This window comes from Homo sapiens, chromosome 6 (genome assembly GCF_000001405.40).
Source record: "Homo sapiens chromosome 6, GRCh38.p14 Primary Assembly".
In the NCBI taxonomy this organism is placed as follows: Eukaryota; Metazoa; Chordata; class Mammalia; order Primates; family Hominidae; genus Homo; species Homo sapiens.
This window is the reverse complement of record NC_000006.12, coordinates 44,039,182-44,065,619: the sequence shown is the minus strand read 5'-3', so window position 1 is coordinate 44,065,619 and position 26,438 is coordinate 44,039,182. Positions and strand designations below refer to the sequence as shown.

The following is a 26,438-nucleotide window of genomic DNA, read 5'->3' as shown; positions in this document are numbered from 1 at the left end:
TCAGCGGACATGTGAGGCTGGGGTGTATCAGGGATCAGGAGTTGGAGATGAGGAAGGCAGATGCAGCTCAGCTGTTCAGGACAGTGAGCCCAGCCACCCTAGATGTGGTAGCACTTCTGTCTCCCCCACCCTCTGTCTTCTAGGCTCCCAGAAGCCCCTCTGTGGAAGCCCCCTTAGCCTGGGCTCGAACAAGGATTCTCCTTCCTTACTTTGAGGAGTTCTCAGGTGGGCATGGTGGGGAGTGGTGCCTGAGAGGGCTAGAGCAGGGCCTGCATGCATTCCCATGTGCACACACATGCATGCTTAACCTGAGTGCCCGTGGGGGCAGACAGGGCTCCCTGAGGACAGAGGGCAGGAGCTAAGTCTCCCCCTTCATTTTAGTGGCCGCCTGATGTGGGGACTATGTCTCCCCCATCTTACAGGAGCTCCTTAAGAGCAGAGCTGTGTCTCTCCCATCAGATTGGAGGGTCTGAAGGAAGCCAGGAAGGGTGTCAACACACAAATGCACAGCGCTCACTCAGGCACCTGCTCCCTCAGACATAGACACCTCAAGCTGGGGTTCCCTGCGAACAGAGGCTGAGTCCCCAGTCACAGTTGTAATTCCCTTAAGGCAGAAAGTGATAAAACTTCCCTGTCAGATTGGGAGTTCCCTGAAGGCAGAGCTCCTTTCTCTCCTGAGACAAAAGAATGTCTCCCCTGTCAGACTGGGAGCTCACTGAAGGCAGCAGCTGTGTCTGCTACCCCATCAGCTCAGGGTCCCTCTGAGGGCAGGGGCTGAGCCTTGCCTCTCAGGCTACTTCCTCTAGAGTCCCTGCAGCTCCCTTTCTTGTCCTGTTTGGCCACCTCCCTCCTGTGATCTCCTGTGATCCGCCTGTGGTCACTTCATTGTCAGTGGCTGGGAAGGCAGCAGATTAGACACAGCCAGTGACTCAGCCCCCATGGCCTTTCTTCCCCTGCCTGTGCAGCCTCATCATGGTGGGGAAACCCCTCTGCTTCCTGCCTTCTCTGACGTCTATGTCCATTTCGCCTGTCCTCCCAGCCAGATCCCTTCCCTGCCCACACACGCTGTAGTCCTAATCTGCTAGCAGAAATCACGAGGAAGTTTTCTGGGAGGGGTGTGTCCCAGATGTGGCTTCACTGTGTCTTTACCAGCCGGGATGTAGATGTCCATTTGACATATGAGGAAACAGCCCCCGTGACGTGAAAGGACCTGTACAGAGCCACACAGCTCTGGTAGCCAACTGAGACTGGGCCCAGGGTCCAAGCTCCTTGAATAAGGCCTGACTGTACATGTGTGCACATACCAGGGAGGCAGGGGCTCATCCGGCCCCATCCTCCCCTGGCCCCACAGCGGGCACTCACGGTCTTCCTCGGGGGGAAGACAGGGAGAACCCAGTGCCTGTGGAAGGTTAAACAGTGCGTGGGCTGAGCAAGCGTGCCGGGGCTACCTGGCCGGGCATGCTAGGGGCTTGCAGCAGACCTCAAGTGCCAGGGAATGGAGCCGCTCTGTAGGTTTGGACAGAGGAAGTGGAGGCTGGGATGGTGGGCTTCAGGCGGCGAGGCAGAAGACATTCTAATTATTCAGTCAAAGGAGGCTTTGAGCTCTGCTGGGTGAAGGGGAGGAGGATTTGTGCAGCAGCTTCCACCAGTGAGGCACATGTGGCTGTACCTTCCTCACTGCATCACTGCACCCATTTCACAGGTAAGGAAACATTGGCCCAGAGAGGGCCTTCACTGGCCCTAGAGCATGCATTTCCAGGCCTGAGCCCATGTCTGTCTGACCCCAAAGCCATCATTTCTGTGGGGTAGAGGGCTGAGCACCAGCCAGTCACGACCCTGCTTTGTTGAGGAGTGGTTTAGCTGTGGAGTCGGTCTGCTCGGATTTGAATCCTGACTCTGTCCCTACCAGCTGTATGGTTGTGGGTAAGTCACTCAACCTCTCTGTGCCTGTTTCCCCAGACAGTAATAAGCATAGTATAGTACTACTTCTTGTATAAGCTTGTTAAGAGGAACAGTTGGTATTTGTGAACTGGTGACCTAGAACATTCAAATGAAGCTGTTGGCCTCTTTCTTTCTTCTCTTCCACCCAACCCCTTCATTCCAAGGGGAGAACAGTTGTTGAGAGTTGGGACTTGGCGAGATGCGGCTAAGATCTCTCTGAGAACGAGAGACTCATCAAGGGGTACTCAGGACCTGCTCAAGCCCCTCCTTGGGAATGGGATGCAGGGAAACAGGAAGCCTAACTTCCCACTGGTCCCATTCCTCCTGGGCCCACAGTCCCCTCCCCACTGTGGAGTGTGGGCATGTGGAACTCTGGCACGTACCCGGTGATAAGGGCCACCCAGCAGGCAGGACGTGGGCTACGTGAGGGACCAATGGAGGCGGCTGCTTTGGCCAGCGGCTGCCTGCCCAGCTCAAGGGGCCAAGGCCAGGAGGCTGGGCCGTGGGGTCCATTGTCTGCCTGCCGCCCCCACCCCTCTGGCGAGCACAAGCTCAGCAACAGCCGGCAGCGGGCCCTTGGCAGAAGCTCGGTCCTGTTCCCCCCACACAGGCACGCCCTGGCCTGCACGTCTTCGCCTGGGCCTCCAGCCATGATGGCGCTGCCCGCTGTGCTGATCAGTGCTGCCACTGGCCTCTAGGGGGCACTGCTTGGGCACTTAGGAAGTCCTTGCAGGGTGAGCCAGGGCCTGGAGCCCTCATCATGGGGTTGTCAGAAGCTCAGCCCATTGGGGTAGGGCAGACTGGGGAGAGGGCAGAGGCAAGATGGGTCACCTGGACAGAGGGTGGAGCAAGGTGACCCCCAGGATGTGGCCTTGGAGAGTTATAGAAATGTCCTTGTCAAACTCCAGGTCTACAACAGGTGGGCAAGGGGGTAGGAAGCTAGTGTTGACCAGCAGTGTGACTTTGGGCCTCCTCCCTCAGGTCTCAGTTTCCTTATCTGTATAACGCAGGGACTGGAGAGGACCCATCTCTAGGTTTAATGTTCTGTGATTCGTGGCACATTTGCTCTTCCTGGCTGGGTTCAGCCCCAGTTGAAACCAGTGGGCAAGATGGGGCATGTCTTGATCTGTGTCTCCCTTTCCCACTTCTCCATCAAAGTGGTAGAAGGGCTGGGGTTTCTGCAGCCCAATACCCTTGGGAGTCATTGAGGTGAGGCCTGACAACTCACATGCCCCTCAGAGCCCTTAGTCCCAGGACCCCCAGGGGCAGAGCTGTGGCCTCTAATCAGCAGGTTAAAAATAACACCCATGGGCTCTTCTCCCTCCACAGGAATGGTGTTTTTGTTGGCATCTGTGGCCCCTCTGGCCCTGCCAACTTGCACAGCATGTGACATTGTCAGGGGAATGTAGGTGTGAGGAAGGAGTTAGCCGGAGGGGCTTGCACTGCCCTGCTCCAGGTGAAGGTGCAGAGCAGAGGTCAGGGACAGCTGGCAGGGCCACCTGTGGCCACAAGGCTGCCCATGAGGCTGAGGGCACATGATGGGCAAGGCAAAGTCCACTGGTAGAAATAAAATGGTGCAGACTATAGGCTGGGCTATGTCCAGGTGCTGGGCCTGGGCCCTGCAGGGCAGAGCTGTGCAACCAACTCATCCCAGTCCTCAGACCCCAGAAGCAGAATCAGTGAGTCACAGGATTGTGGAATCAAGGCATTCTAGACTTGAAAAGAACTCAAGAGATACTGTCCAATCCCTGCCCAGACAGGAGAAAAATAGCCCCACTGGAGAATATTTATGGAGCTCGTCCTGGGTGCCAGGCTCTAAGCTGGCATCCACTGAATTAATCTTCCCAGCAACCCTCTGCACCCAGTTCTGTTTTTTTTTTTTCTTCCAAACAGAGGAAGAAACAAAGGACAGAGAAGTTAGGTAACTTGTCCAAAGTGCCTTCAAACTGATCTCTGTATGATTCCTAAATCCCTATCCATAATCGTTACCTTGTCTGATTTAACACAGGTGGGAACAGAAGCCCAGAACTTGGAGGCTGTGCTGGGGTTTCAGGACAGGCCACTGAAGCTGTGTGCCCTATTCAGTTCTGGACTCAGTCCACAGCTCCTTGCACACAGAGAGCTCATGTCATGGGCAGTCAGAATTCTCCCTTAGGTCATCCGGAATCGTGTTTACTTTAATGTAAGATCATTTCTTCTCCTTCACTTCTCCAGAGAGAAATGACAGCTCCTTAGTTCTCCTCTTAAAGTCCCTGCTCATTGTTAACAGTGGTCACACTCGTAATTTTTTGAGGGTACAAATCTGCCAACACACTCATCATTTAACCCCCAACTTTCTCTGGGGAACTTCAGGAAAAGCATCCCTGGGCATTAACTCATCTAACTGCTTATCATGGCGTTGATGTCACCCCTGAGCCTGCTCTTGCCCAGGCAGAACAAGCCCGATTTTTTCCCCCTTTCCGTCGGGCCTGTGTTTGCCCTCTCCATGGCATCTGCGGCCCTGTCTGGCCTCTTGCCAGCTTCTTGTGACCAAATGTGGACCTGGCCTGGCCAAGGAGGAGAGCTTGGGGGTCAGGGCCTGACCTGACAGCTGTCCCTCCAGGGGTCCCAGGCAGTGGTACCAAAATTTAAGCCTTGGCTGCCCCCACCCTGCCAGGTCTCCCTACTACCCCCATTCCATCTTATGCCGTCAGGATCCTGATGTGTGTTTATGGTGTGGTGCTCCCAAGGCATTACCTGGTCCTTTAGGTCCCCAAAGCGCTGGAGATATTATTCTGGAGTGAGGAGTCCAGGTTTCTTTCCCTAACTCATGCCACAGACCAATCAAGTGGCAGCTTCTTGTTCCTCACACCCCAGGGCAGGATTTCAACAGCAGCAATAATAGCACTGACTGCTTACTGAGCACTTGCCTTGTGCCAGACACTGTGATGAGCACATTACAGTAGCCCTTTCGCTGAATACTCACAACAGCCAGGTGAGGTGGGGTCCACGGGTATCCTTACTTTATAGGAATCCCAGGCACAGAGAAGGGTTTTGTCTGGGCTGACAACGGATTTAATGCTACACTGATTCTCTGTTTAGTTTTGGTTTGGTTTTTGAATCACTTCACGCTGGCCCTGAGTGAGGCGATAAGGCCCATTCCCAAAGCACAGGTGGGAAAACTGAGAGTCCGACTTGGGCAGTGAGTCAGGTAGGCCATCCTGTTCTGCTATCCCCACACCCCTAGCCTGGCTCTCTGTCATCTGAAGTGTTTTCCCAGGGTATTTCCTCCTTCTAGGTATTTCTCCTCATCTCATGCATTTACCTGGGCTCTTCCCTCCTTTCCATCCATCTATCTATCCATCCATCCATCCATCCATCCATCCATCCATCCATCCATCCATCCTCCTGGAGCCAAGTCCTCCCAACAGGGTTCCTCCTGACCTCACAGGGCAAGTAGGAGGAAGTGCTCCTGGATGGGGACATCACACCCCTGGTAACTCTTCTCTTCTAGACACCTCATCCATCCTACTCTGCCCAGCCACACATGAGTCGAGATTATTTCACCAGAGGAGAAGCTTGTATCAGTTAAATTTTGGTTTACACAAGATAAATAGTGAATTTTTTGCTCATGTAAAATATTTCTGGGATGTGGTCAGAGACTCCTTCTATCTTTCTGACCTGCTAGGTGTGGTTTCCATTTCCAGGGTCACCTCATTGCCCAAGATGGCTGCTGGAGCCCCAGCCAGCAGGAAGGAAGAAGAAAGCCTGAAGAAGGACATGCCCCTTCCCTTCAAGGAAGCTTCCTAGAAGTCACACTTATATTCCATTGGCCAGAACTCAGTCATCTAGCCATACCTAGCTGCAAGGGAAGCTAGGTAGTCTAGTCTTTATTCCATGGGGGTCTGGCTAAAAGTTGGGAAATAAACGAGGAATGGATATTAGGAGACAGGATCTGCCACAAAGCCTCTTTGTTCCTTTTAGATTGCAACTGCCAGAGGGTAAGTGGGGCCTTCCCAACGCCCTGCCTCAAGCAATCCTGGTTCTCTCCCTTCTCTGAGGTCTCAGTTCTTCCCTGATACTCAGTAGTTACTGCCTGGAGCTGCTAAAGGCAGCAGCACAATGCCACATCCGGCTGCCGTTGGCTGTTGTCCACCGTCTGCAGATCCAGGCCAGTGCACTCACTTATCTCACAACAGCTCAACAGGCAGCTAGTCTTAGTCCCATTTTATAGTTGAGAAATTGAGGCCTAAAGAGGTTAAGTAACTTGCCCAAGAGCACGCAGCTGGGCTCTGAGCCCAGTTCCTGTGTGTTTCTTTCTTTCCTGTTGAGCCTTCCCTGTAGGGGTGGATGCCCTGGGCCTTCTCAGGGTCTGACAAGAGGAACTGGAATGGTCTGAGCCCTAGGAGGGGCCTGTCTGGGAGGAGAGGGCAGGCAGGGGCGTGACCTGGGTCCTCAGGTGTCTCCTCAGCACTTACTCAGTGCCATGGTCAGCGAACGCGTCTGAACAGAGTCTACTGACGGGCTTGGGGATTTCTGCTGGCGCCAGCAACTGGCCACTGCAGCCACATCCTCAGACGCCACTTTCCCCAGAATAAGTGTCCTAGACCCAGCAGTGAGGAAGGACAGGGATAGGGCAGCTTTTGTCACTTCCCTTTCTTTCCTCCAGCCCTCCCCAGGGAGGCGGGGGAGAGGGGGACTGTTTACTCTGCTTTCACCCGGGGGAGGCAGCAGCAGGGGACTCAGCACCTACCCCAGGTGGGCTGCTTGGAGGGGAAGGTGGGGAGAATGTGACCAGCGCTGAGGGGAAGAGGCCAGACGCTGGGCTTCTCTGGAAGACCAGGGCCATGTGGGCCATCCCCCTGCCTCCGGGCAGGACTGTCCGTGCTTGCTGCCGAACATGAGTGTGAGGTCATTGCTCTGGTCTCAGGGGTGGGGGGAGGTGCTCTGAGCGTAAGTACGGTCACCGCCTCTACTTGTGGTTAGTAATGTTACTGTAATATCTACTCCACGATCTCTGGCCAAGAGGAAAGGCTCAGGAGTTGTGAGTCACAGCTGGCTGTCGACAGTGGGGCAGGTCATGCGCAGCTTGAATGGGGGTGTGCTGGGGATGGCCCTGAGACCCAGACGTAACCTCTGTCCTCAGGAGTTCCTGCCAGAAACAGATGATGAACTGGAAGAACAGATGTGAGGCTGAAAGTCCCCAGTCCATGTCCTCCTCCACCAGGAAGTCTTCCTTGATGAACTGCCTTGGGATTGCTCTGGGATTGACCTTGAATTCCTAGCTGTGGCAAGATGGGCTTCTTTTTACTTTGCCATCCTGCCAAATCTGAGCACTGAGCACCTACAGGTTGTGTGCTAGGGGCAAGGGCATGAATAGGAATGTGGTGCTTTCATTCAAATCATTCATTCAGTCATCAAATATGCCAGGTGCTCAAGATACACGGGTGAAGCCATGGACTCAGCTACTCTTATAGAGCCTGGAAAAGGAGAGTCTTAAAGCAAGTAGTCACACCAAAAAGAATTACAAACTGTAATGTGTGCCAAGAGGGAAAATTACATGGGGCTCTGGGAGAATATCCTAGGGACTTAGTTTAGATGGGGGTGTGGCCTGATATTTAAGCTCAGTTCCTGTCTTGCTCTAACAAAGTCCCAGCCTAGCTGGGGACACACACGCACGCGCGCGCACACACACACGCAGAAATGTCTGGGAAAAGATGATGTTTAACTGACAGTTCACTGTATCTTCTTGGTCCGTCCTAATGTTCCTGAACTGGAAGCTCCCTGCATGCCTGGATCATGTCATGTTTGCATGATCAAGGTCCTGCCACCAGGCCTCTGGTACAGGTGGTGCCTAGGAAATATGAGTTCTTTGCATGCCATTAGGAATTATCTGTCCACCACCAAATTAACTGCTCTAAGAGTGCCAGGGTGGAGGATTGGAGCTGTGTGGTCATCCAGGAAGGCTCTGAGGATGAGGAGGGCAGTGATTTGAGTCTGGAAGGACTGAGATCAGGATGAAAGGGATGACAGAAGAGTGTTAGCCCTGTTTGGAGACAATGAGGAGACTGGGAGGTTGATGTTCTGGAAGGGAGTGGCTACGTCTCTGCCCTCAGACTGGCAGATCCCAGACAGCAGGAAGTGTCTCCTCCTTCAGACTGTGAGCTCCCTCAACTCTATGGGACCTGGCTTCTTGTAGACTGAGGCATTATTTGGGTGTGGGTGGACGTGGGAGTTGATAGTGGGTCTTCTATCCCCCCCCAACAGCCCTTGGGCCTCTGGGGAGAAGTCTGTGGACTGGCCCAGAGCCAAGGGACTCCTCTCTCCCTCTCCTCCCTAACATCTCCAGGAAGCAGGGTCCAGAGCCTCAGAGCTTCCGGTCACCTGAATGTGATTAGTGGGAGGCCTCTCCCTCTGGGATCGAGCCCTTGGTTGTGGCCTGAGGTCCCCAGCATGGCCCAGCCTGGAATTCATCTCCCAGCCCCAGTGCCCTTCTCCCTTTTCCCTTCCTCAGCCCAGCTCTGGTTGGGCCCAGGCAAGGCAGGAACTAGGGATGGTCCGGGGGGCTTCCTGGGGCTGTGCCACTCCTGATAGGCAGTGATTCCCCTGGAAGCCCCTCCCTTGCCGCCTGTGAAGGCTCTGCAGGGAGACAGCTCACCAACACGGTGGCATGCTGCCCACCAATGGGGGCCGTGCCAAGTGTGATGTGATGTATGCTGATCCCTCTCCACTCCTCACTGAGGACCAAGCGTCTGCTGCCCCCGCAGCACAGAGTGCCTGGGGCGGCTGTCCAATCACATCCATGGGGGTTTGGGGGAGATGTAGGAGTGGACAGAGGGTCTTCCTCGTGCTGCAGGCAGCAGGGCCAGTCTGAAAGAACCTCCCCCACCCCCAGAACTGGTCTTCCGCCCCCAGTTGATGGAGCCCCTGGGTACTGTCCAGGGTATCAGTCCCTCCGCATTTCACTTGTATCCCTCAATGGACAGAGGAGGTAGGCCCCATTGACCCTCTTGCTCCTCTCACCCACCGTGCTTTGGAAAACATATTGGAGATGTTTCCTTGCCCTCCTTTGTCCCACTCTGCCTGTTGGGGCCCAAGCACCAGGAGAGAGCGAGGGATCCTGGGGATGAAGGGGGCACAGAAGTGGTGTTGCATCCATCCCCTTGGAGGTAAGCGTGCAGATTGACTGGGCTCCATCTCCTTTCTCCTTCTTCAGGGTCCAGTTGTCTGCAATAGGGGCTGTGTTAGGTTAAAGGAGGTCCAAGGCCAGAGGCAGCTATTTTATTCAGGGGTAGACTCTTGGATCCCACCCAGAGACTCTGCTTCTCTAGCTCTAGGGAGGGTCTTAGGATGCTGCATTAAGAAAAAGCCCCCCCAGTGTTTGTGACATTAACGGCCAAGGAGCACACCCTGCTCCTGAGGAAAGATCACAGATTCTGAGGGATGGGAGTCTTGAATTCCAACCCGAGCTTCTCTGTTTGCTCTCTGGGTGACTTTGGACACTCATCTCTAGGCCTCAGCTTTCTTATCTGTGTAATGGGAGAGCGATACCTACCTTGAAGACTAAATGGGGCAAGTGCAGATAAAACATCAGCATCAGGCCTGGCACACAGCAGGTGCCCAATAATTACTGTCCTCAGAATGCAGCTGTCTCAGCCGGGCACAGTGGCTCACACCTGTAATCCCAGCACTTTGGGAGGCCGAGGCGGGCAGATCACAAGGTCAGGAGATCGAGGCCATCATGGCCAACACAGTGAAACCCCATCTCTACTGAAAAATACAAAAAATTAACTGGGTGTGGTGGCACACTTCTGTAGTCCCAGCTACTCAGGAGGCTGGGGCAGGAGAATTGCTTGAACCCGGGAGGCAGAGGTTGCAGTGAGCCAAGATCGCATCCCTGCACTCCAACTTGGGCGACAGAGCGAGACTCCGTCTCAAAAAAATAAATAAATAAAAATAAAAATAAAAAATAAAAGAATGCATCTGGCGCATTCACTTTCTGGGCAGGGTTGGGTTGGACCCCTTGTCCCTCCCATCACTTGGGGATGCTGGCGGGGTGAGGGAGGTGATTCAGAGGTTGGGAAGGATGGTTATGCAAGGAGACACTTCCAAGAGACTCTGCTGTTGCTGGTGACAGGGAGGAGTGAGTATCCCCCACATTTCACCGACACAGAGACCCTTGCCTTAAGAATAATAACCTAAATGGAACACATAGCACTATGTGCCAGGTGCTGCTCTGAGTTCATTAACGACTGCAATTATCTAGGGGGATTGTTATCCCATTTCACAGGTAGGGAAACTGAGGCACAGAGGGATTGAGGCAGTAGCCTAGCATCACATAGCTAGTGATTGGCAAAACCAGGGCTTGAACCCAGATAGCCTGGCTCTTAACCACTGCCTCTCTCTAGCATGGGGCCCCCTGGAGAGAGGGATGGCTGTGCCTTCCCTTCATGTCCCTCTGTGGGGTTCTGGGGCTGGGCTATCTGAGTCAGGCTCTGGTACTCTGGCGGGAAGAGGCAGGCCCCAGATTTGCCTCTAGGGCATTCTCTGACTCCAGCAGCTCCTGCCCACCCTTCCCTGGGCTTCTTTGCCTCCTCCGCAGTTGCTGCCTTCACCCGGCCCCACACTGCCACCCCAGTCAATGTTCACTTTCTCCAGCTGTGAGCATCTGGACCCCCCAGGAGTTGTCACTGGGCTCTGCCTTGGGCTCAGGGAGAGGCTGGACTCCAGCCTGATCCCATTGCCCAAGACCAGTGGCCTTGTCCACTACTCCCTCAGTCCTTGGGGAGCATCAGGGCACCTGCCCCCTCGAGCCACTGTTTATGACCTGGTATATCACTCATTGTCCCCACCCTCAGCCTTAATGAGGACCAGAGCCCGCTAAGACATCCCAATTAACCACACCATCTGTTTTCCTTTAGCAGAAACAGTGTGGTGGGTGAGCAAGAACCCAGAGTAGGGATGTCGTGGGGTGGGCTCAGGGCTTGTTTTCTTCCCTGAAAAATGGCTTACCACCCACTCTGACCTCTGCAGTGCCCAGGAGATGGCTGCCTTCCCTCAAAGGGGAGCCTGAGAGCCCCTCAAAGGGCACAATTTTCTGTCCCACCCAGCAGCTAGCTTCTGCAGCAGGCCAGATTTGGGTTCAGTGGTGACTCAGATGGGATGCAGGGTGCCCCATTGCGTGCAGGCTTCCTGGAGATTTGGGAAGCCAAATGTCAGTGTCAACAAAGGTATCTGAGTACGGGAATAGGCAGGAAGCAAGGATGGGAAAAGGGAAGCCAGTGGTTGGTGAGGTCACTCCCAAACTTCTGAGTATCCTCTCACTGATCCACAGGCTTATCAAGCGCTTACTGAGTGCCCAGCACTGATTGGGCACCAGAGACAGTGAGCAAGACCACAGAGGGAGGGCCTGTGGAGAGCCTGAGAGGTCAGGAATGTTCCTGGAGGGGGTTGCACTTACTTTAGTTCAAGGAATCAGTCCCTATCAGCTTCAGCTCTTTCCTGAGGTCAGCTCCCAAGAGATCAGAACCCCGGTGGGCGTGACAGTTAGTGTGAACCTGGAGCACAGGGTAGGGGACTATAAGAGTTGGAGAGAGCTTACGTTGGGGAAAAGGAATCAGGAAGCTCTGGAAATAGTTGATAAAATGCGCCAGTGAACAAATGCTGAGTTGGGGAAATTGGTGAGTGGTATCAGGAACCTTTGGGGTGGCATTAGGGCCAGAAGCTGTCTGGGGAGTGTATGGCTAGATGAATCCCAGTCTGCCTTAAGCAGGAAGCACCTTTGTTCATTTCTCCCTCAAATATGTAAGCGATCACACAGCATGCACATTGTCAATATCCGCTTCTGCACCCACGGCAGGCATCACTAGCCAATCCTAGCACTTTCCCCTTCCGAGTCCAGAAGTAGCCTCACACTTTTTCTCATATACTGGTCCAGGTCGTCACTACTAACTGATCAGAGTTGAGAGATGAAATGAGAATCTATTTACCTTCCTTGGATGGAATTCAGACATGCATAAGATCTAAAGAAACTCCCAGAAAAGAACTTATTCAAAGGGAAGAGAGAGTCAGGTGGACAGTCGTAGGACAAGGGCCGTTTTAAGCCAGGCTGATGATTGTGACTGGATTTGCTCTGGCCCAGCTCCCTGGTGGACTCATATCTGGGTCTGAAAGAGAGCAGGCCACAGGAAGCCCACCATCCCAGCCTCCACTTCCTCTGTCCAAACCTACAGATCGGCTCCATTCCCTGGCACTTGAACTCTGCTCCAAGCCCCTAGCATGCCTAGCCAGGTAGCCCTGGCATGCTTGCTCAGCCCACACACTGCTGTTTAAACTTCCACAGGCATTGGGTTCTCCCTGTCTTCTCCTCAGGAATTCTGTGAGTGCCCGCTGTGGGGCCAGGGGAGGATGGGGCCGGATGAGCCCCCTGCCTCCCTGGTACGTGCACACATGCACAGTCAGGCCTTATTCAAGGAGCTTGGACCCTGGGCCCAGTCTCAGTCTGCTACCAAGAGCTGTGTGGCTCTGTATAGGACTAGGATATAAAGCATTGTGTGTCCATCAGGATTCTGTTGCAGAGAACAGAATCTGCTCTGACTGGTTTAAGTGAAAGGGACTTATCACAGAGTATGAAATGGCTACACAACTATTGGCAGGGTCGAAGACATAGGCTTAAGGTGGAGCTTTCAGGAACAGCTCTCAAAGTCACACTGCAGAACTGGGCCACCAAGGGAGCTGCTGCCTCTTTGGCAATCATGAGGTCACCAGCCCCAGAACCACACTGCAGTGTGATCAGGAGGCTGCCACTGCTGCCAGCTCCACACTGCACCTGCTGGGGTCCATGCTAGGAGCCAGACACACTGTGTCTCTCCTCTTGACCCCCTCTGCCCGTACTGCAGCAAAACAACAACAACAACAACAACAACAACAACAACAACACACACCCCTTCTTATTCCCAGAAAGCAGCTGGCGCTGCAGAAGCACAGCCTTCCAAATTTCATGCACGTGCATCTGATTGGCTAAACCTGAATTATATCCCAATCCCAACAGCAGGGGAGGAGACTGGGAAATGTAGTTTTTTGGCTCTTCCTGTCTCTGCAGGCCAGTAAGGCACACAGCAGGGGGTGGAATGATGTTGAAATCAGTCCCCACACTGACCACACACTGTCTTCTAACCTTCTAAAAGATGCCGGGCACAGCAGCTCTGTTTTGGATGTTCTCAGAGAGGAACAGAAGGGGAGTAAGAAGCCTTCTCTGCTTTTTACCACACACCACTATACAGCTTTGAGGCACCCTGAAGGCTCAGGCACATCAGTGGTGCCATTTGCGTGTGGTCCTTGGGGAGTGTGATACCAGGTCATTGTAGCAGGTCATTGTACTAGGCAGAGAGCCTCCTTGACCTGTCCAGGAATAGTTGGGACTTTGTCAGCAGCTGGGACCAGCAAATATTGGTTATTAGGGTCTGAGTGGTTTTATCTAACTCCTGGCTGGATCCGTCTTTGGAAACGCTATCACGAGCGCATCCTATGGGCCAGGCGCTGCTCTGACTGTTAGGGGACAGAAAAGGATGAAATAGAGTCCCGGCTGCTCTTTGCAGCTCCCTGTCTAACAAGGAAGAGGTGTGGGCCTATGCAGCCAAGGGTGCGAAAAGGTGAACAGGGGACTTTCCAGGGTGGAAGATATTTGAGCTGAGTCCCGAAGGGCCCAAGGATGCTTAGAGGAGGTCTGGGTGAGAGACAAGGTAAAAATGAGAAATGCACCACAATCTCAGTGAGCCGGGCAAGGAGGGAGCTGGGAGGTGGGGGTGGGGAAGAGACAGTGTTTGGGAAACCAAAGCCGGGATTTCTGAAGATCCAAGATTCAGTCTTCCCATCCAGACCAGGCTGGATGCTCCTGTGCTGGGCACCTGCATCTGGCCAGTCATGCAGTTTGTCCCAGGCTCTCTGCAGGCTGTGGGATGGGGTTTGCTGCCTTGGCTCATGCAGACTGCTGGGAATGACTCATGGCTGAGGAGGGGTTCGGGAGAGCCACGGACTGCTGCCCAGGCTGGAGGCTATAAGGAGGCCTCTCCCTGGGTCTGGTGGCAGCAAAAGAAACTAGCCCATGTGGGAAGGGCAGCCCATGTCACCCCACCCTGGGCTTCCAGGCTACAGGGCCAGGTGGCCAGAGGGAGTCTCTGGCACCCCAGCCCCCACCGTCCCCTCCCACCCCAGGCCCCAGTGTCCCCTCCTACCCCAGGCCCCACTGTCTCCTCCTACCCCAAGTCCCAGCATCCCCTCCTACCCCAGGCCTCACCGTCTCCTCCTACCCCAGGTCCCAGGGCCTCAGGCCCCAGCGTCCCCTCCCTTGTACTCTGCTTCCTCCCCATGGCAGTGCTGCCCATTCCCTCCCTGCATCCCACTCCATCCTAATGCCAGCCCTCCCTGGCTCAGGCGGCTGGGAATACCCGTGGTGGGTCATTACAGGACACCACTGCCTGAGGGTCAGAATGCAGGAGGCCTAGCTGTGAGCTGGAACCCATCAGAGGCCAATCTAAGTCCTGGCAGCAGTCAGGACAGGAAGGGCTGGCTGATGAGAAAGGTGTTCCTGAGAACTGCAGTTTCCAAGCTCTGTCTTAACCCTTCCCACTCTGACATGAGGGTGTGTCCTGACATTTTCCAATGGTGACAGGTGGCTGCAGGTCTCTGGTTCCTCAACCCAGGTTGGTGAGGTGAGGTTGATTTCATAGAGAAACCACGCCCCTGCCTCAGGGAGTCCTAGTCTGAGGGAGACACAGCCCCGTCCTCAGGGAGCCCCAGTCTAAGGGGAGACACAGCCCTGTCCCCAGGGATCCCCCTCAGAGAGGGAGACACAGCCCTGCTTACAAGTGGCGCAGGGTCAGATATGTGGGAGATTTTGTCTGATTATTAAACTGATAATCAATATCATGGCATTACTTTTGAATTTCCATGTGCACTTGTGGGAAATCAGCAGCTTGAACACACATTCGTTGCTCTTAAGCTCCAGGAATCATGCGGCTGCAGATGGAGAGAGTTCTTAGCGGATGGTTTTGTTCTGGTTGCCCTCTTGGGGTCAGCTGCCCGCTTTTTTGAGACCCCTCCTTGCCTCACAAACCACTCAGCAAGTGGGTAATTTTCAACAGCTTGTTCCAACTCCTTCTTTGGTATCCCCATAACTTATATAACTCCCAGCTTTCAATTAACAATTAAACTTGGTGAGCAAGAACACAAAAGGAAACATGTCTGTGTGCAACTGGCCCTTCTTCAACTGTGTGGTTTAGATGTCTCTGATTTATTTTCCACAATTAGTGGCTGGCCTTCTCCCAACCTCTCTCCCTGTTCTCTTTGAAGGGGCTGCTGCTGGCTGGGCACAGCAGCCTAGCAAAGCTGTCTGAGGGCACCCTTTTCTCTGGGGCTGAGATCACCAAAGAGCTCAGGCCTCTTGGTTCCTGGGCTACATGGGGGTGACTATCAAGCTCTCCAAGGGGGAGGAGGGGGCCCGTGCCCACCTACAGGGTGAGGAGGAAAGGCCCAGAAATGCTGGCACCTTTGCAAGCCTTTTCTGTGCTCTTCATCTTCCAGCAAGTCATTCCAACTCCAGTGCCTCACCTTCCTTATCTGTTAAATGGGAGTGAATAATTGGGTTAGGTGCTTCCTAGAGCTCCTTGCACTCAGACTTTGAGAGTTATTCCTGCTTCCCTCCCCACCCTGCTCAGGGCTCTCCTGACACCCTGTCATGACCACAGAGGGTGGGTTAATCTCTGACCCTGTCCAGCAGCCAACTTGGTCACCAAGTGTGCTACCAGACAGCCTCGTGCTGCTGGCCCAAGGGTTGCAGCCCTATCTCTTCCAGCCTTAGTCTGGCACTCTGATGCATGAGGACATGTATGGATATGCAGGTGAGTGGAGCCATTTGGCCACGTTTCCTGGGACCCCTCTGAGCCAGCCACTGGGCCTTGCCTTTAAGAGACTCCCAGGACAGTGAGATGACTGTGCACAGGAGGCTTGAGGAATGAGTGCTGAAGCCAGCAAATATTTACTGAGCACCTGCTCCAAGCCAGGCCCTGGGCTGGGCAGGGGACAGCAAAACTGAATAAATAGACATGGTGCAGTTCCTCATGATTAGAGGCACATACGAGTTCCAAAGTCAGCTGATCAGGTTCAAGCCCTGGTCTGATGCTCTTTTGGGCAAGGTATTTAGCCTTTCTACACCTTGATTTTTTCTATCTGGAAAATGGGGATGCTAATAGTACACAACCATGGGGTTGTAGTAAGGATGAAATGAGTCAGTGTTTAGAGTGCAGGGCGTGGTCATTGCAACTTTCATTTTGTGAGCACTAACTCTGTGCCAGAAAGTGTCATGGCATTTGATGAAAACCACGTCCCTTACAGAGAAGGAGAGAGCACTTCTGGCTGAGCTGAGAGAGAGGCTTCATGGAAGAGCTGGTGCCACAGTTTGGTCTTGAAAGATGGAGTTAAATTCCATAGGTGGCAATGGGGGAGGGCGTTCCAGGAGGGGGAACAGCATGGACAAAGGCATGGAGGCAGAAAGACAAAAAATGTGCTGGGGGAACTCCAAAAGGACCAGTGAGACTAAAAGGCAAGGGAGATAAAACTGGAAAGTAGGCTTAGGCCAGATGAACATCTAGACCACAGAATGTGGCCTTTGTCCTGTAGGCAAAGGGGAGCCGTGATGGTTGCTGAGCAAGGGGATCTCGAAGGGAGATGAAACTGCTGATTTCAATAAGGCAGCAGAGTTAGTTTCCTTAGATGATAATAACAACAAGAATGATAATCAGAAACATTTCATTTTGTAGATTCTAAAGTTCGCTGAGCATTTTCATGGGCACAACCTCATCTGATCATTATGGCAACACTGTGGGGTGAGTTGAGCAGGGATTATTGCACCCACTTTACAGAGAGGAGGATGGGGCTTATCTGAGGTTACCTAGCAGGTTGATGGCAAAGTCAGAAGCTAACGTGGGTCTCCTGGCCAGCATCAGCATGGATGGCCCAGTGTGAGTGAGGGACATAGGTCCCCATCTCATGGCTGCCCAGGGGAAATGGACCACCTTCTCAAGCCCCATCCTTAAGCTTGAAAATGTGTTTGTGTGTGGAGGGGGTCGTAAGGATGTCTGTGCAGAGAGCCTTCCAGTCACGCCAGCACCAAATCTTCTGTACTTCTGGCCCATTGCCAGGGGCCAGCACGCACTAGGCCAGCACGCATCTAACCTCTGCTGATTGGTACCGAGAGCATTGGTGATTTGGGCAGGGGGTTGGCTGCACCACTGCCAAGAGGCTGGTGAACTGCTGCAGGGGTTTGGGGAAGACATACACATAGCCCTACGCTTTTAGTGAGTCCTTCACCTCTGTAGAAGCCTCTCCCAGCTGAGCAGCAGCCAAGGCAGATGGAGGGAAGCTTCCCATTCACCTTCTCTTCTGCTGGGACTGTTCCCTGACCCCCCTGGGTTCCTGCCCCAGGACTGGGAGTCTGGCTTCTGATGGCCCAATCTTAGCTCTTCCCTCTCCTTGGATTCTGCCTGCTGGCTGATACCCTTCCACACTGAGGCCTTCCTCCTCTGATGTTCATTTCCAGGTCCTGGTCCCCAGCAGGGCCTAGGGTGAGAAAGGAAACAGTAGAACCCCTGGCTTCCCGAGCCTGCTCCATCCCGAGTTCTCAGCAGGGCCAGGCTGGCCTATCTTTCTAGAGGACCCAGCACAGGGCCTGCCTCAGAGTGCAGCCCAGGTAGCACCTGCTGGTTCTGTCTGCCAGGGCCCCAGCCTTCATGGGAGGCCAAGAGCCTTAGGGGAACGGACAGTGAACCCAAAAAAGTACATTGTGATATAAGCCAAAGGGTGGCCCCAGTGAAAGGCTTTGTAGGAGTTTGGAGCAGGTGAGGTTGTGGAGGCAGTCAGGGACTTCCTGGAGTGGTGTCCTGGATTAGAGCTCAGCCTTCCCTGAAGGTGGTGGGGCTTGGTTAGGGGAAGGGGTCTATACAGAGGATTCTTTCCAGAGGGTGGGGAGCCAGACTTACCGTGCCATATGAAGCAGTGGGTTGAGGGGCATGAGCAGAGGGGTGTGGGCATGCTTGCCTCAGGCCAGCCCTGGAAGGTGTGCAAAATGGCCCTGGGTAGTGATGGGCTGTTGACTGATTGATCGATTCATTTATTCAAGTTTATCCAGCACCTCCTCTGTGCCAGGTGCTGTGCTTGGGGCTAGGAGCTTAATGATGAGTAAGACAGATGTATCCCTTCCCTCCTGAGCTCCTGGTTGAGATGGGAAGGCTGAGGAGCAAACAGACTGTTTCAACACACTGTGATCAGTGCCAGGACAGAAGAGATACAGTGTCCCCTAGAGCAGAGAGGAGGCTTCAGCTTGAGACCCGGGGGTGGATCTAGGAAGACTTTCCAGGAGAGGTGGAGCTGAGATCTGCAGGATGATGAGTGAGCTGGGAGTGGGGGTGAGCATCCCAGAACTGGGAGAGGGGTGGCATTCCTTTCAATGGGTGAGGATCATGACATGGGGAGGGGAAGAGGAGGCGAGGTGCAATGGCAGATCTTGCATGTTGTGCTGCATTAAGGAATTATCCGGAGGGCACTGGGAAACGTTTGAAAGGTTTTAAGCAAGGGCTGGATGGGATCCGATTTGTGTTTTGGAAAAAACCTCTTTGGCTCAGGTAGAGAACAGGTTGGAGGGCACCTGAGTTGTCCAGGCTCAGTTCCAAGACAGGGAAGAGCCCCTCCCAGATGCAAGCCCTGTGAGGACAGCATGGTGATCCTCTTGCTGTTACCCTACAAAGTCCTGTAAAGGGTGTTGCCCAAGTCCCCTTAAGGGAGGACACCCGGTTCCGGATGATGGCTGGTCTTCTTGCCCATAGGGTCCCTTCCTTTGGCTGGCTGTGAGGGTGGCTCAGCTCTCTGGCACCAACAGGGAGAAGTGGGACTCACCCTGCCAGGACTGCATGTTGAGGGGTTGGTGGAGAACATTTTGGAGAGGGCAGGAGAGAGCCAGTTCTCAAAGAGGGAACTGGTTCAAATCAATCTACTAATGCCTGCCCCTCCTGCCCCCACCACATGCACACAGGTGATTCATTTGGCCTTTAAGACTAAAATGCCAGTAGTTCCCATTGCTTTGGGTGGGGGATGTGGGGAGGGAGACAGTTTGCCCTGCACTAAACTCAGCCTGTGGAGGAGAGCAGATGGGATACCTGGGATGTGGTAGAAATGAATGTCATGGGCTGGGCGTGGTGGCTCATACCTGTAATCCCAGCACTTTGGGAGGCCGAGGCAGGTGGATCACCTGAGGTCAGGCGTTCAAGACCAGCCTGGCCAACATGGTGAAACCACGTCTCTACAAAAATACAAAAATTAGCCGGGCATGATGGCAGGTACCTGTAATCCCAGCTACTCAAGAGGCTGAGGTGGGAGAATTGCTTGAACCTGGGAGGCGGAGGTTGCAGTGAGCCCAGATCACACAATTGCAGTCCAGCCTGGGTGACAGAGCGAGACTCCATCTCAAAAAAAAAAAAAAAAAAAGAAATGAATGTCATAGTTGAGGGGACAGGTTGGTGGGGGCTGGACTTCCAAGGCTTCCTGGCCTGGGAAGGAAGCAGGGGGCGTTGTGGAACCTGGAGTTTTCGGGTCAAATTCTGGCACTTGAGCTTCTCCAAAAGCCACCTGTGTGGGCTGGGGGTGAAATGCCAGGGTTATGGGGAAGGTTTCCCACCCCCTCCCTGCAAGAAGAGAGGAATGGGAGGGCAGGGGAGGGCTGTTTGGCCAGGCCCCTGGTTCAGCCAGCTCTGGGAACCCTGCCCAAGATGCCTGAGACAATGCCGGGATGGAGGCTGGCCTGGCCAGAGGCAGGCCTGGGAGGGGGCAGGAGCAGTGCCCACTTCATTCACAGTCCTGGCCTCTGCACAGTGGCCCACAGCACCACCCCCTACTCTTGGGCTCCCTGCCCAGTCCTAGGCTTCTGCCTACCCCTTGGCAGTCACCAGCCATGCCATTCTCCCAGAAGGACTCTTTCCTAGGCTGGTCCTACCCCCTCTGAGGGATAAGTGTGTTTCTGAGAGTTAGTATGTGTCTGAGTGTGCTTCAGGATGTGAGTGTATATACATGTGTGGGTGTGTGAGGGGGGTGAATGTGTGTAGGAGTGTTGGAGTGTGTGTCTGCATGTATGTGTGTGTGTATCTAAGTATCTGAGTGTCTCCATGTATGAGTGTATAGATAAGTGCATGTGAGTGTGTCGAGGTGTGAGAATGTGTATATAAATGTATGAGCGTATATGAGTGTGTATGAGTGTGTGTATGACAATATGTATATAAATGTGTGTGCATGAGACTGTATTTGAATGTGTGTGTGTGTGGGGTGTGTGAGATGTATGTGAATGTGTCTATGAATATGTATATGAATGTTTTTGTGTTTTGTGTGGGTGTGTGAGAATGTGTATATGAATGTGTGTGAGTGTGTGGGTGTGTAAAATGTATATGAATGTGTGTGTGAATGTGTATGTGAGTGTGTGTATATGAATGTAGGTAGGTGTATATGAGTGTGGGTGTGTGAAGATGTATATGAGTGTGTGTGTCTATGAGTGGGTGTGTGGCAATGTGTATATGAATGTGTGTGAGTGTGTATATGAATGTGTGTGTGAAGATGTATATAAATGTGAGTGTGTATGTGTGTATGGGTGTGTGTGAGGGTGTATATGGATGTGTGTAAATGTGTATAAGTGTGGGTGTGTGTAAATGTGTATATGGATATGTGTGTGTGTGTGAGAGGATGTACATGAATGTGTGTGTGTGTGAGGGTGTATATGGATTGTGTGAATGTGTATATGAATATGTGTATGTGAACGTGGGTGTGTGAAGATGTATATGAATGTGTGTATATGAATGTATGTGTGTGTGTGTGAGCGTGGGTGTGTGTGAAGATGTATATGTTTGTGTGTGTGTGTGAAGGTGTATATGGATGTGTGTGAATGTGTCTATGAATATGTGTGTATGTGAGCGTGGGTGTGTGTGAAGATGTATATGAATGTTTGTGTGTGGGTGTGTGTGAAGCTGTATATGGATGTGTGTGAATGTGTATATGAATGTGTGTGTGTGTATGTGAGCGTGGGTGTGTGTGAAGATGTATATGAATATGTGTGTGTGTGTGACGGCGCATATGGATGTGTGTGAATGTGTATATGAATATGTGTGTGTGTATGTGAGCGTGGGTGTGTGTGAAGATGTATGTGAATGTTTGTGTGTGAGTGTGTATGAGGACTGCCCACTCTGCTCCTCCCCTTTCCTCCCGCTCCCCAGCCATTCTGACTGCGCAGTGGGTGCTCTGACCTTTCATTTGGACCAAGGACCACATGACCGGCATTTCTCAGGACAGCCCTCATTCAAACAGTTCACTCCCCCTTCCCCAACCAGTGCCGTTTATTTTTCCAACCCACACAGCCTCATATTCAGGGTGGAAAATGCAGTCACCCATCTCTGGGATCCTCCTCTTCTCTTTGAGCTCGGGAAGAGTGGGACTGGAGGCCTGGAGGGGCCATGGCAGGTTCCAGGAGAAATGGACCCTACTTCTGGGGCTCTAGTAGGGAGCTGGGAGCTGGGGGAGGGGGGGTTGTGGGGACAGGCTTCTTTGTTCCCAGACCCAGGCCTGGCCTGGATTTTTCTGGAGGGGACAGTGGGAGGGAGCCCTGGCTCACAGGGAGAACTGGGATTTGGTTATTAAACCAAGTTGCAAGTTCAGTCTGCTTTCCAGCCAACTTTTCTTCCCACCTCACTTTCTCCTCCAGATAATAGAAATACCCTGGAGGGGTTCCTTTTCTCCCTGGCAAGCTGAGGGAGGCAGGGGCCCTGCCATTGGCCACTCCCTGGGCCTGGGCCAACTCCCCACCCCCGCAACAAGGGGTGCAATTACATCAGCTGCTCTCTCTCAGGCTCTGGCTGTTGCTGGGGGAGGTCCTTGCCCTACTCTGATGCTGGCCTCCTGACTTTTGACTTTCTCTGACCCCTTCCAGGCCTTGAAATCATGGCAGCAGCAAGACCCAACTGGGGCAGCATCATGTCTGGGTTTGAATCCCGGTTCAGCCACTTTCCAGCTGTGTGATGTGGGGCAAGTCAGGTAACCTCCTTGGGCCTCAGTTTCCCTATCTGCAACTGGGGATGACAATAGTGCTCTCTTCCTAGGTTTGTTCTGGGTAATCACTGAATTAATATTTGTTAGGTATTTGTGTTTTACCTTGCACTATGTACGTGTTGGTTAAATAAATACATCATTTCCCTAATGATGGCCAGCTAAGGAATAGGTGGATGGGGTGGGTCACTGACCCACTAACCCCTGGCTTCATGCTTCAGCACTTACTCATTCCCTGGCACTTAGCTCTTATCCCTGCATAGACCCAGGAAGTCTGTGACTTTTTGCTCTCTTTCTCAGGGTTTAAATTCCACCCCTACTATTTACCCTCTGTGGCACTTTGTCTCCTGGGGCAGGGATATCACAGCAGAACACAGAGGCCAGCTCAGGAGAAAGTCTCCCATCCTGACTTGTCTCTCCTCCACTTGTGCCACAGCAGCCACCCCCAGGGAGGCCTGAAGGGAGGTGCCCCAAGTGGCAGGTCTCTTCCCAGTGCCTTAGGTCTTTGCTGTTCTGGAGAGGAAGTGGCAGCTTTGCCTGCTGGGCTAGGGACTTAGGTTTTGGTTTGAGCATGGAAAAGACTCATTCACAGAAACTCCCCTGCCTTCCTGAGGCAATGATCCTGATCCACTAACCAGCTGCTCTCGCTGGGGCTGGGGGAGTGCAGGGGGCTTTGCTCGCCTTGAAGGGCTGGTGGAAGGATTCCTCCCCAGCTTCTCCCTTTTCCCCAGGCTCAGATCCCACCAGGACTGCAACCCTTAGCCCTGTCTGGTCTCCCCTGCAACCCTTGAGGCCACCCTGGAGGCTCAGCCATCCATTCACCCCAGGTGGGTCCCACACTGCCTTAGCTGCCTCTTCCTGGCCCTGTGGCAGCCTGCCTCCTCTCCCCTCCCTCCTCTGGTTGCTCTCATTGTGGGTCTGGAAACTGAGGTAGCCTTGTCGCTGGGGCCTGGCTTCTCGATGCCCAGAGTCCTCCAGCTCTATTCTGCTCTCAAATATGGAGCAAGCACCCACACTGTGCTCTCCAGTGCCTGGCTCTGATGGAAAGGGCCAGTTGGCCCTGGTCACCAGGGAGCCTCTTGACCAGAGTGCAGCCCTCAAAGAAAAGCCAAAGGTCCATGAGATGTCTTCCTTCCCTCCCCTCCCCTCCCCTCCCCTCCCCTCCCCTCCCCTCTGCTCCCTCCCAGAAATGTTCATTGGGCCCTGCCTTTGTAGCAGGTGTGGGCTGGGCCCTGACCATAGAAGAAGACTTCCTTGCCTTGAAGTTCAGAGGGAACCTGGTTGCAGGCCCCAGGCAAGGCTTTCCTTTCTTTGAGTTCCACAGCTCTGCTCACTGAGGGGTTCCAAGGCAGAGGCTGAGTCTCCACCATCAGATCGTGGGCTCCCTGAGGGTAGGGCATGTGGTTTCTGCCCCTCAGAATCTTCTGCATTCATTGATTCACAGTTCATTCATTTACAGCACTCAGGAATGCTTCTGTGGGCCAGGTTGTGCCGGGCCTTTGTGAGCTGATCTGTTTCAGCAGGTGCCATCTAAACTGGTTTCTGGTGGATGAGAAGAAGCTAGTTCTGGGAAGAGTGTTCCAGGCAGACAGAACAACACGTGCAAAGCCAGGAGCCTGAGAGCTATTGGGGTAGGCTGAGGCAGGAAGGGGCTTTGAAGATACAGTGACTCACAGGAAAGCAGGGGCCTGTCTGGGGAGCTGAGGAGAAAGAAGTCCTTGAGAATGGTTGAAGATTTTACTTCTGTGGCAGGAGAGAAAACCTAGGAGAGTGTCAAGTATCATTGCCCAAAGGAAGACAGGAATTCAGCATTCTGCGGAATCCCTGACTCATCGCTGGGGGTGGAGGGAGGTGGGAGAAGACTCGGCTGCCTGTGCTTCATTTCTAGCCTTCCAGGAGGACGTCAGCAACCTCCTTGCAGATTCCTTCCTCCTCTGCCCCCTCAACCTCCCTGCCCTTGCAGGGAATGAATCCCGGAGCTCTAGCTGTCATCGAGTTCTCCCTGTTGTCTAATCCTAGTCTCTCCTGCTGCATTCTTGCGTGTCCTTGGAGATTAACCACAATTTGGGGCCTGCAGTGTCTTTTCCCAGTGCCTGGCAAAGGCACTCCCTAGCCTTAACCTGTCCCCACTACTGTCCTGGGCCACAGAGGCTGGGTCCAGGGCATGGGGGTAGTTTCCAGGAGACAGTTTGATCCTCAAACTGCAGGCCAAGCCTCCATCTTGATCTCCAGGATTGCTTGAGGTCTTAAATCCCACTGGAGAGGTCTAGAGAAGCCAGGAGAAGCCGAGGCTCTCTGTTCCTGTCTCTTTCTTACCATGACTCTTATTTCTCTTTTCCCTGTCTCTCTCCCCATCTCTTTCTCTCTTCCACTCTCTCTCCACAGATCCCACCCCACCCCAACCCCCACCCCCGACATCTTTTTCTGGTTCGGTCTTCCCCTCCCTCCTTCTTGCTCTCCTTTTCTTTCAGTCCCTTGCCCTCCCTACCTGTAGGACTCAGTCTCCATTCCCATCCCTAGCCCTCTTTCTCTCTGATGGCCCCTGGCAGTGCTCGGGAATGAGAATGAGGAGGTGGACTTGTGGGGCTGCAGGTGGCCTGGCAAGTGGCATTGTGCAAGATAGCTCTCTTCCTTGTTAGGGTCTGAGGGGATTTGGAGGGCCGGCCCTAGTCAGCAGCCTGGCTTTCATTCCAGGCCTGTTGGAGGAATTCATAATAAAGGGCCTGGCACTGAAGTCCTGGGTGGCTTTAATTTTCTGGAAGAGAGGCAATCCAGTTGCTTCCCTAAGGGGGAAACCCTGTGTACCCAGCTGAGGGAAGGTGAAGAGCATGTAGTAGTTAGGGTTTAAGCCTCCCCTGCAAAGTGTCCACCTCCAAACTGTTGGTGGGACTGAAGACAATATTTTGTCATGGAGAGGGGACTGGTTGAGAGGCAAGAAACAAAGGAGGAAGGAGACCAGACCCTTCTCTGGCCAGTCAGTAGCTTCCCTGGGTACCTGAGCCAGACTGGGTATGCCTGCCCTCTTTATGGGCATCTGAAGGAGGCAGGAGATGAAAATCTCCGAGTATGCAGAGGAAATGAGCTCCTAGAGAAGAGGCGAGGACAACGGAAACAGTCAGTGGTCCTGGGGTGGCATGATAGGCCTGGAAAGCCGGGAGGAGTGTTTCCTCCAAAAAGCAAGCAATGCCTTTTGGGGAGAAAATGAAGCTATGTTGGCTGGATTCTGGGGGCTCCTGTGAATGAGTGGTAGAGATGCTGTCCCTGGGGGTCAATAGGCCTGGGGCTCAAGTAAGGTCTGCTTACACCAGGGATGGACAGATGTCAGAGGGCCCTGCAGTCTACACAGCTGTGTGGAGCACCGTGCAGAAGCCGAGGGCCTGGCCCCCAGCCCTTAAAGCCTGGACCTGGGAGCTCAGGACTTCCTCCCTCTTGAAGTGGTGGGTGAGCCCTGAATATTTTACCTGAACGTGACACAGGGCCGGGGGAGGGAACTGTGAGAAGAGGAGAGAGTTTAGTAACTATCTTGGTGGCAGGCCCAGAGTGGGTGACCAAGGGCGCTGGGGCTTGTAGGGCTGAGGGCAGAGCACACCACTGCCCACCACCAGAGCCCCAGGAACCCCCAGGACAGTGTCCCGCTCTTCTTCTGAGGTCCTTCCCCTCACTGCCTCTGTCTTTCTGTGTCTGTTTTCGACCCCCCCTTTCTTTGTCCCTTTCTTCTTTCTTGTCCTGTTCTCTGGTCGTAACTCTCCCATCGGGCCCTCCTGTCTTTCTCTGTGTCTGTCGCTCTCTGGCCCCCACATCATGGTTTCTTCATACTATCTAGTACAAGGGGAACCCCCTCTCTCCATAAACCCACTGGATACTGGGTGACCCCTGCCTGTGTGTGTGTGGTGGGGGGGTGCATGCACTGAGCACAGGGTGCAGGGGGGTGCGTGTGCCCCAGGCAGGAGTGAAGGGCGTGGGTGAGTGTGGAGGAGCTACTGGTTGAGCCAAGGTGGGGCAGGCTGTGAAGGGTCTGGTTGAAGATGGAGGGGTGAGGGCTGGGGTGGGGGCTCCTGTCGCCCTGGGTGGACTGCAGGGTTAGGCTTTCTCAGCAGAGGCAGCCCTAGCTCTGCCCCTGGGCTCCAGCTTATTCTAGGGAAATTTCAAGAGCCAGCCCCACCATGGCCAGCGCACACAAAGCACATTGTTCCACTCCCCAGGCCCTTGCCCCTGTCCCTGCCAGGGTTGCTGCCAGTTCCTGGAGGCAAGCTGGCAGCCTCACTCCTGAGGCCAGGGCTGCTCACCTGGCTCAGTGGGAGTTCCTCCCCTGCTGACTCGTCACCGTCTTGAGCAGGGCCAGGAGCATGCCAGGCTTGCTGACCCTCAGAAGTGGCTCCCAGTGGCCC

The 26,438-nt window shown here is 53.7% G+C and overlaps 1 long non-coding RNA gene across 1 annotated transcript in view, besides 10 other annotated features; it reads left to right on the top strand.

The window, feature by feature from the left end:
• The window catches only part of SCIRT (stem cell inhibitory RNA transcript), a 78,930-nt gene that overhangs the window by 9,033 nt on the left and 43,459 nt on the right, over positions 1-26,438 (top strand). The gene's annotated exons all lie outside the window — the stretch shown is intronic.
• Positions 1,937-2,899: an enhancer, noted in NCBI's record as "H3K27ac-H3K4me1 hESC enhancer chr6:44030458-44031420 (GRCh37/hg19 assembly coordinates)". NCBI's record gives its function as "activates a minimal SCP1, AML or CMV promoter by ChIP-STARR-seq in primed H9 embryonic stem cells {active_cell/tissue: H9 hESC(primed)}" and the evidence as "EXISTENCE:reporter gene assay evidence [ECO:0000049][PMID:30033119]".
• Positions 2,684-2,753: a silencer, noted in NCBI's record as "silent region_17246". NCBI's record gives its function as "represses an Ori minimal core promoter by ATAC-STARR-seq in GM12878 lymphoblastoid cells {active_cell/tissue: GM12878}" and the evidence as "EXISTENCE:reporter gene assay evidence [ECO:0000049][PMID:35858748]".
• Positions 6,507-6,576: a silencer, noted in NCBI's record as "silent region_17245". NCBI's record gives its function as "represses an Ori minimal core promoter by ATAC-STARR-seq in GM12878 lymphoblastoid cells {active_cell/tissue: GM12878}" and the evidence as "EXISTENCE:reporter gene assay evidence [ECO:0000049][PMID:35858748]".
• Positions 6,877-7,056: an enhancer, noted in NCBI's record as "active region_24626". NCBI's record gives its function as "activates an Ori minimal core promoter by ATAC-STARR-seq in GM12878 lymphoblastoid cells {active_cell/tissue: GM12878}" and the evidence as "EXISTENCE:reporter gene assay evidence [ECO:0000049][PMID:35858748]".
• Positions 10,541-11,041: an enhancer, noted in NCBI's record as "H3K4me1 hESC enhancer chr6:44022316-44022816 (GRCh37/hg19 assembly coordinates)". NCBI's record gives its function as "activates a minimal SCP1, AML or CMV promoter by ChIP-STARR-seq in primed H9 embryonic stem cells {active_cell/tissue: H9 hESC(primed)}" and the evidence as "EXISTENCE:reporter gene assay evidence [ECO:0000049][PMID:30033119]".
• Positions 13,405-13,999: an enhancer, noted in NCBI's record as "H3K4me1 hESC enhancer chr6:44019358-44019952 (GRCh37/hg19 assembly coordinates)". NCBI's record gives its function as "activates a minimal SCP1, AML or CMV promoter by ChIP-STARR-seq in primed H9 embryonic stem cells {active_cell/tissue: H9 hESC(primed)}" and the evidence as "EXISTENCE:reporter gene assay evidence [ECO:0000049][PMID:30033119]".
• Positions 16,333-16,482: an enhancer, noted in NCBI's record as "active region_24625". NCBI's record gives its function as "activates an Ori minimal core promoter by ATAC-STARR-seq in GM12878 lymphoblastoid cells {active_cell/tissue: GM12878}" and the evidence as "EXISTENCE:reporter gene assay evidence [ECO:0000049][PMID:35858748]".
• Positions 21,694-21,988: an enhancer, noted in NCBI's record as "tiled region #2143; HepG2 Activating DNase matched - State 4:PromP, and K562 Activating DNase unmatched - State 5:Enh". NCBI's record gives its function as "activates a minimal TATA promoter and a strong SV40 promoter by Sharpr-MPRA in HepG2 and K562 cells {active_cell/tissue: HepG2 | K562}" and the evidence as "EXISTENCE:reporter gene assay evidence [ECO:0000049][PMID:27701403]".
• Positions 22,833-23,581: an enhancer, noted in NCBI's record as "H3K27ac-H3K4me1 hESC enhancer chr6:44009776-44010524 (GRCh37/hg19 assembly coordinates)". NCBI's record gives its function as "activates a minimal SCP1, AML or CMV promoter by ChIP-STARR-seq in naive H9 embryonic stem cells {active_cell/tissue: H9 hESC(naive)}" and the evidence as "EXISTENCE:reporter gene assay evidence [ECO:0000049][PMID:30033119]".
• Positions 25,283-26,040: an enhancer, noted in NCBI's record as "H3K27ac-H3K4me1 hESC enhancer chr6:44007317-44008074 (GRCh37/hg19 assembly coordinates)". NCBI's record gives its function as "activates a minimal SCP1, AML or CMV promoter by ChIP-STARR-seq in naive H9 embryonic stem cells {active_cell/tissue: H9 hESC(naive)}" and the evidence as "EXISTENCE:reporter gene assay evidence [ECO:0000049][PMID:30033119]".